The sequence below is a fragment of the Homo sapiens genome, chromosome 21 (genome assembly GCF_000001405.40).
Source record: "Homo sapiens chromosome 21, GRCh38.p14 Primary Assembly".
Classification (NCBI taxonomy): domain Eukaryota; kingdom Metazoa; phylum Chordata; class Mammalia; order Primates; family Hominidae; genus Homo; species Homo sapiens.
In genome coordinates, this window is record NC_000021.9 from 43,144,215 (window position 1) to 43,151,416 (window position 7,202).

At 50.6% G+C, this 7,202-nt stretch overlaps 1 long non-coding RNA gene across 2 annotated transcripts in view, besides 2 other annotated features; it reads left to right on the top strand.

Annotated features, from left to right (window-relative positions):
* The window catches only part of LOC101928369 (uncharacterized), a 43,255-nt gene extending 36,525 nt beyond the window's left edge, over window positions 1-6,730 (top strand). For both annotated transcript variants that reach the window (XR_937768.3, XR_937770.3), the window contains one exon: window positions 133-6,730. This is a non-coding gene — a long non-coding RNA (uncharacterized LOC101928369). The remainder of the gene's footprint in view (window positions 1-132) is intronic.
* Window positions 3,675-4,222: an enhancer, noted in NCBI's record as "NANOG-H3K27ac-H3K4me1 hESC enhancer chr21:44567999-44568546 (GRCh37/hg19 assembly coordinates)". NCBI's record gives its function as "activates a minimal SCP1, AML or CMV promoter by ChIP-STARR-seq in naive H9 embryonic stem cells {active_cell/tissue: H9 hESC(naive)}" and the evidence as "EXISTENCE:reporter gene assay evidence [ECO:0000049][PMID:30033119]".
* Window positions 4,465-4,632: a silencer, noted in NCBI's record as "fragment chr21:44568789-44568956 (GRCh37/hg19 assembly coordinates)". NCBI's record gives its function as "represses an EF-1alpha promoter that drives an FKBP-Casp9 reporter gene in an ReSE screen in HepG2 liver carcinoma cells {active_cell/tissue: HepG2}" and the evidence as "EXISTENCE:reporter gene assay evidence [ECO:0000049][PMID:32094911]".
* Window positions 6,731-7,202: the final 472 nt, after the last annotated feature.

Sequence of the window (7,202 nt, forward strand, 5' to 3'; positions counted from 1 at the left end):
GGTCAAACAACCCCTAAGGGTGGGCAGAGTGGGGGGCAGGTGGGAAAAACAGATTGACACTCCCAGATTGGACTCCAGGTGACGGCCTGCTGGTGCCCACCTGGCTAGAACTTTCTATTCCTTTTTGTCCAGGTCTCATGGAACAAGGAAATCAAAAAAACACCCGCCCGTGCACAAATGGATTTCCTGAACCCTTCTGTGCGCCAGTCCTTGGGGACGCAAATGTGAATGAGGCGGCGCTCTGTTGAATTTCCGTGCCCAAACTCACCAACGTGCACAGATACTGATGTGGGAACACCCGCTATAAGGTGGCCTGGAGCAGTGAAGACCCTGCTCTCTTGTGAACTCCCGCAACCATGGCCAGCCCCCTGGGGCTCCCAGACCTTGGCAATCAGCCCTTGTGGTTTTTAAAAAATTTATTTTTATTTTTATTTTTAGAGGCAGGGTCTCATTATGTCACCCAGTGATATGGTCTGGCTGTGTCCCCACCCAAATCTCATCTTTTATTTTTTTTTTTTTTGAGACGGAGTTTCGCTCTTGTTGCCCAGGCTGGAGTGCAGTGGTGCAATCTCGGCTCACCGCAACCTCCACTTCCAGGGTTCAAGCGATTCCCCTGCTTCAGCCTCCCGAGTAGCTGGGATTAAGGGCGCAGACCACCATGTCTGGATAATTTTTTTTGTATTTTTAATAGAGATGGGGTTTCATCATGTTGGCCAGGCTGGTCTTGAACTCCTGACCTCAGGTGATCCACCCACTTCGGCCTCCCAAAGTGCTGGGATTATAGGTGTGAGCCACCGTGCCCAGCCCCAAATCTCATCTTGAATTGTACTCCCATAATTCCCACATGTTGTGGGAGGGACCCAGTGGGAGATAATTGAATCATAGGGGTGGTTTCCCCTGTACTGTTCTTGTGGTAGTGAATAAGTCTCATGAGATCTGATGGTTTTAGAAGAGCTTTCCGCATTCTCTCTTGCAGCTGCCGTGTGAGATGTGCCTTCTGTCATGATTGTGAGGCCTCCCCAGTGAGCCCATTAAACCTCTTTTTCTTCCCAGTCTTGAGTATGTCTTTATCTGAAGCATGAAAACGGACTAATATACCCAGGTTGGAGTGCAGTGGCGCCATCTTGACTTACTGCAGCCTTGACCTCCAGCTTTCAAACGATCCTCCTCCCTTGGCCTCCCAAAGTGTTGGGGTCACAGGTGTGAACCACCATGTCCAGCCAGCCCTTGGGTTTTGAGATGCTCAAGTTACAGGTGAGAAGTGCTTTGTTTGTTCCGGAATCTGTGTCCTGAGAGGGTTAAAGACAAGGGCTGGCCAGCCCCTAGAACCTGGCCGTGTCACCAGGGGAGCTGTGGAAGCAGGAGGGAAGCAGGAGGGAGGCAGCAGTTCTGTGCCGTGGGGCACCTTGGGCTTTTCTTTTTTCTTTCTAATAGAGAAGCAACATTTTGAATAAATCCACAAAAGCGTAGAAGATCATCTCATCGGTTTCTGTGTGTGAAGTTTCATGCTTATCTAACTGCATTTAGGAAAATTCACGTGTACATTTTTCCCAAGGGGAGCGAGAGGATGTGAGCGTTCTACTTGTTCATTTCATATCTGCTTTTACAAATTCATAGGGAGGGTGAGGAAGGAGCTGTGGTTCTCATTGCGACTGATGTTTGATTATTTGATTCAGGAATTTCACTTCTGGGAACTTGACTTAGGGAAATGCTCTCAGAGACGCGTGCGATGTTGTTTGTAACAAGCACATGTGGAGATGTCCCGGGCCCCTCATGAGGCGGCTGCTTGTGTCCGTTTGTACCTCTTGCCAGCTGTGCAGTGTCGCTCAGCTCCCAGAAGGAGGGAGGCAGGTCCAGGCATTGATGGTTAGTTTTGTTTTTTTTTTTGAGAAGGAGTCTCCCTCTGTCACCCAGGCTGGAGAGCAGTGGCACGATCTCAGCTCAACTGCAACCTCCACCTCTCAGGTTCAAGCGATTCTCCTGCCTCAGCCTCTTGAGTAGCTGGGATTACAGGCATGCACCACCATGCCTGGCTAATTTTTGTATTTTTAGTAGAGACAGGGTTTCGCTGTGTTGGCCAGGCTGGTCTCGAACTCCTGACCTCAAGTGATCCACCCGCCTTGGCCTCCCAAAGTGCTGGGATTACAGGCATGAGCCACCGCGCCCAGCTGATGATTAGTTTTATCCATGTTCTTCCTGCTGCAGCTCACCCAGAGGCCCTGGTGGGGCAAGAACTTGGCTGGCCAGGGTTGGAGCAAAAACACCAGCCTTGGCTGTGGGTGAGGCAGGAGTGTGGCCGTGCAGGTGTGGCTTCCTCGCCGCATCTCCAGGGCGCTTTCCCTGTCCTGTGAGCTCCTTGAGGGCCGAACCTGGGCCTGTCAGTTCTGGGCTACCTCCACTTCCCAGCAGGCCCTCAAGAAGGGTTCCCTAGATGTGGTCTATTCCCACGGGAGACTATCATTCAGCCGTCGAAAGGAAGGGAATTCTGATGCAGGCTAGACAGGAATGAGGACATTAGGCTGAGTCAAAGAGGCCAGTCACAGACGCACAAGTACGGTGACCTCCCCTTTGATGAGGCCCTGGAGGAGTCAGATTCACAGAGACAGAAAGCAGAATGGTGGCACCGGGGCTGGGGGATGGGGAACGGGGGCGGAGTGTTGAACGGGGACAGAGTTTGCTTTGCACGATGAAGAGTTCTGTGGCTGGATGTCAGGGATGGTTGCACAAGACTGGAATGTACTTGATGCCACTGAACTGTGCACTTAAAAATGGTCATGATGGTAAATTTTACGTTATACATGTTTCACCATAGTTCGAAAAATACTTTAAAAAAAGCACCATGTCCCTTGGATTTAGTGATACCGACCCCTCTTTGTCCCTCTGCTTCCCAGTGGTTTCTTCTTGCCCCTGGGATTTGTAGGGATGGGTTGCCCCTCCACACCTGTGGGTGTTTCTCGTAAGGTGGGACGAGAGATTTGGAAAAGAAAAAGACACAGAGACAAAGTATAGAGAAAGAAATAAGGGGACCCGGGGAACCAGCGTTCAGCATATGGAGGATCCCGCCAGCCTCTGAGTTCCCTTAGTATTTATTCATCATTTGTGGGTGTTTCTCGAAGAGGGGGATGTGTCAGGGTCACAAGACAATTGTGGGGAGAGGGTCAGCAGACAAACACGTGAACAAAGGTCTTTGCATCATAGACAAGGTAAAGGATTAAGTGCTGTGCTTTTAGATATGCATACACATAAACATCTCAATGCTTTACAAAGCAGTATTGCTGCCCGCAGGTCCCACCTCCAGCCCTAAGGCGGTTTTTCCCTATCTCAGTAGATGGAGCATACAATCGGGTTTTATACCGAGACATTCCATTGCCCAGGGACGGGCAGGAGACAGATGCCTTCCTCTTGTCTCAACTGCAAGAGGCGTTCCTTCCTCTTTTACTAATCCTCCTCAGCACAGACCCTTTATGGGTGTCGGGCTGGGGGACGGTCAGGTCTTTCCCTTCCCACGAGGCCATATCTCAGACTATCACATGGGGAGAAACCTTGGACAATACCTGGCTTTCCTAGGCAGAGGTCCCTGCGGCCTTCCGCAGTTTTTGTGTCCCTGGGTACTTGAGATTAGGGAGTGGTGATGACTCTTAAGGAGCATGCTGCCTTCAAGCATCTGTTTAACAAAGCACATCTGGCACCGCCCTTAATCCATTCAACTCTGAGTTGACACAGCACATGTTTCAGAGAGCACGGGGTTGGGGGTAAGGTCACAGAATCTCAAGGCAGAAGAATTTTTCTTAGTACATAACAAAATGGAGTCTCCTATGTCTACTTCTTTCTACACAGACACAGTAACAATCTGATCTTTCTTGCTTTTCCCCACAGGATTTAACAACAAATCCTAATGCACGTGGGGGCCAGCGGCAGTGACTGTAGTCCCCTTGGCAGGCGAAGGCCTGTGAGTAGCCAGTGCTATGTCTGGCATTCTAGGCAGCTCCTGGCTCCCGGGCGGATCCTCCTGTTGCCTGCTGGGCCAGCCTCAGGTCGGCCCTTCCAGCTCTGTAAAACTCAGAAGGCCTTTAGGGCAGGCACTGTGCCACTGACCCCCTCTCTGTGTCCCAGGGCCCGGTACAATGAGATGATCATGGAATTAAACAGAACAGAACCATGAGGTGTCCACCAGGCCATGCCAGGATGCACTGGCTTCACCTGTGATTTTGGCACCAGTTTAAACAGTGTCACTTCATTCTGTGCTTCTCCTGATTAGTCTGCCTTCTGGCCGATATATCCCTGGGAGGCAGGTGCAGACCCCTCTTGACTATGTACTGTGTGCAGTTTTGGGGACAGAGCTCTTTATGTGGCCAAGGTCTGGCTGGGCAAGGTGTCTCATACCTGTAATCCCAGCACTTTGGGAGGCTGAGGCCAGAGGACTGCTTGAGGCCAGGAGTTTGAGAACAGCCTGGGCAACATAGCAAGACCCCATCTCTACAAAAAATAAATAAAAATTAGCCAAGTGCGCCTGTGGTCTAGCTACTCCAGAGGCTGAAATGGGAGGATCACTTGGGCCCAGGAGGTTAAGGCTGCAGTGAACTGTGATAGCACCACTGCACTCCAGCCTGGGCAACAGAGTGAGACCCTGTCGCAAAAAAAAAAAAAAAAAAAAAAAAAAAAGGTCCTTTCCCAGGACGTCAGGACGAATGTATGGAGCAGCAGCAGGGGTCTCAACGAGTGCCGCGCCGTTTCCAGCCGTGCGCACGTCCCTGTGGCTGCCGCAAGGAACAGAACGACTTGGTCATCTTGCAGTGGAAGTCAGAAGCCTGAAGTGGGTCCCGCTGGGCGATAATCAAAGTGCCAGCTGGCCTGCGTTGCTTCTGAAGCCTCTAGGAGAGAATCCACCTCCTTGCCTCTTCCAGCTTTTAGAGGCCGCCCTGTTCTGTCATAACTCAAGGCCCTGCATATGGCACAGGTGTGACTGTTCGCGCCCGCAGCTCCTTCACCAACCCTCCTGCCACCCTCCTTCCCTGCTTTCCTGTAAGGACCCCTGTGGTGACGTCAGGGCCACCTGGGTATCCAGAAGCATCTCCCCAGCTCGTGATCCCTCACTTAATCCCATCTCCAGCTGCCTTTTGCAGAGTAATGTGCACATTCATGGGTGCTGGGGACGGGGACATGGACATCTTGGGGTCGGGGTCATTATTCTGCCCACCACAGCCAACAATTACAATCAATGGGGATGAGAACTGGAAATGGTCCTGTATGATTCTCTTGCTGCCAGGCTTGAGAGCCAGCCAGGAGCACGCTGGGGGCCGAGCGTGGGAACGTGCCACATGTGACGGTGCTCCCACGGCTCAGCGCTGCTTCCAGACACAGTCCTACTAGTTGGAGCCTATTTTGGCCACAGCTCTCACCTGCGTTTTGGTGGTGGGAGGGGTGTTTCTGGGTTCCAGGTGAAGTTGGTTACACCTCCTGGGTGTTCAGGCATCAATGTTCACCTTCATCAAACGTTTAAAAAATTGTGGTTAGGCTGGGTGCAGAGGTCCATGCCTGTAATCCCAGCACTTCGAGAGGCTAAGGGGGGGTGGATCGCTTGAGGTCAGGAGTTTGAGACCAGCCTGGGCAACATGGCAAAACTACATCTCTACCAAAAATACAAAAATTAGCTGGGTGTGGTGGCGCGTGCCTGTAATCCCAGCACTTTGGGAAGCCAAGGCAGGTGGATCACCTGAGGTCAGGAGTTTGAGAACAGCCTAGGCAACATGGCAAAACCCTGTCTCTACTAAAAATACAAAAATTAGCTGGGCGTGTTGGCACACGCCTGTAGTCCCAGCTACTTGGGAGGCTGAGGCAGGAGAATTGCTTGAACCTGGGAGGCAGAGGTTGCAGTAAACCGAGACAGTGCCACTGCACTCCAGCCTGGGTGACAGAGTGAAACTCCGTCTCAAAATAAATAAATAAATAAATTAGCTGGGCATGGTGGTGCACGTCTGTAATCCTAGCTACTCAGGAGGCTGAGGTGGAAGAATTGCTGGAATCTGGGAGGCGGAGGTTGCAGTGAGCTGCGATCACACCACTGCACTCCAGCTTGGGCAACAGAGTGAAACTCTGTCTCAAAAAAAAAAAGTGGTTAAATATATGTAACATAAAGGTTGCCATTTTAACCATTTCCAAGTGTACAGTTCTGTGGCATTAAGTACATTCACACCGTTTGCGACCATCACCGCCACGTCACGGTCAGTTTATGTTATCTTGATTAGGTGCCAGTCCCCAGGGACTCAAACATGAGGCAAAGTGTTGCTGTGAAGGTGTTTTGTGCGTGCGATTAACATCTACAATCCGTCCACCTTGAGTAAAGGAGGTGATCCTGAATGACATGGGTGGGCCTTGTTCAAACAGTCAAAGGCCTGAAGAGCAAAAATGAGGTTTCCTGAGAAGAAGAAATTCTGCCTCAAAACTGCAACTCCAATTCCTTCCTGAGTTTTCAGCCTGCTGGCTCATCTATCAATGTTGGATTTGCCAGCCACCACTATTGATATCGATATCTATATGTATTTCTTAATATCTATATTTATATATCTTATTGGCTCTGTTCCTCCCTGCCTGTCACACAGTCTGTCTGCTTGCCAGTCTCTCCTATGGGAATGTAGCCCCCTGAAGTCAGGAACTGTCTTTTTTATAGCTGTATCCAGTCAGCTAGTGTGGCACACAGTAGGTGCTTAATAAAAACATAGCTACTTTCTAATTGCTCTGGCGCTCACATGGAAGTGGCTTGAACAGTAGACGCATGGGAGAGAGCTGTTCCTGGCATCCTGATGGCCTGGTGTGCATCTCGGGTAATTCATACAGTATCTTACGTTTGCCCTCTCCTTATTAATGTCACCCAGCCCTACCTATTCTAGGCAGCTGCGTTCACTCTGGTGAAGGGGATAAGTTCTCTGGGAACCTTCATTTGCTGAGTCAGTGTGGCCACCTAGGGTTTCTGCTTGGATGTGTTCCTGACACATCCGCCCCGGTCTCCAGCCCTGGGTGGACAGCTCTGCGTAAGTGTTCCCATTGCTCCTAGGAATTCGCTCTAGTCTCAGACCCAACACATTCATCCATCCATCCATCCATCCATCCATCCATCCATCCATTCAACAATCTGTGTTCAATGCCTCTTCCCATTTAGCACTGGGGATACAGTGGTGAACAAAAGAGATGACAATTCCTGCCCT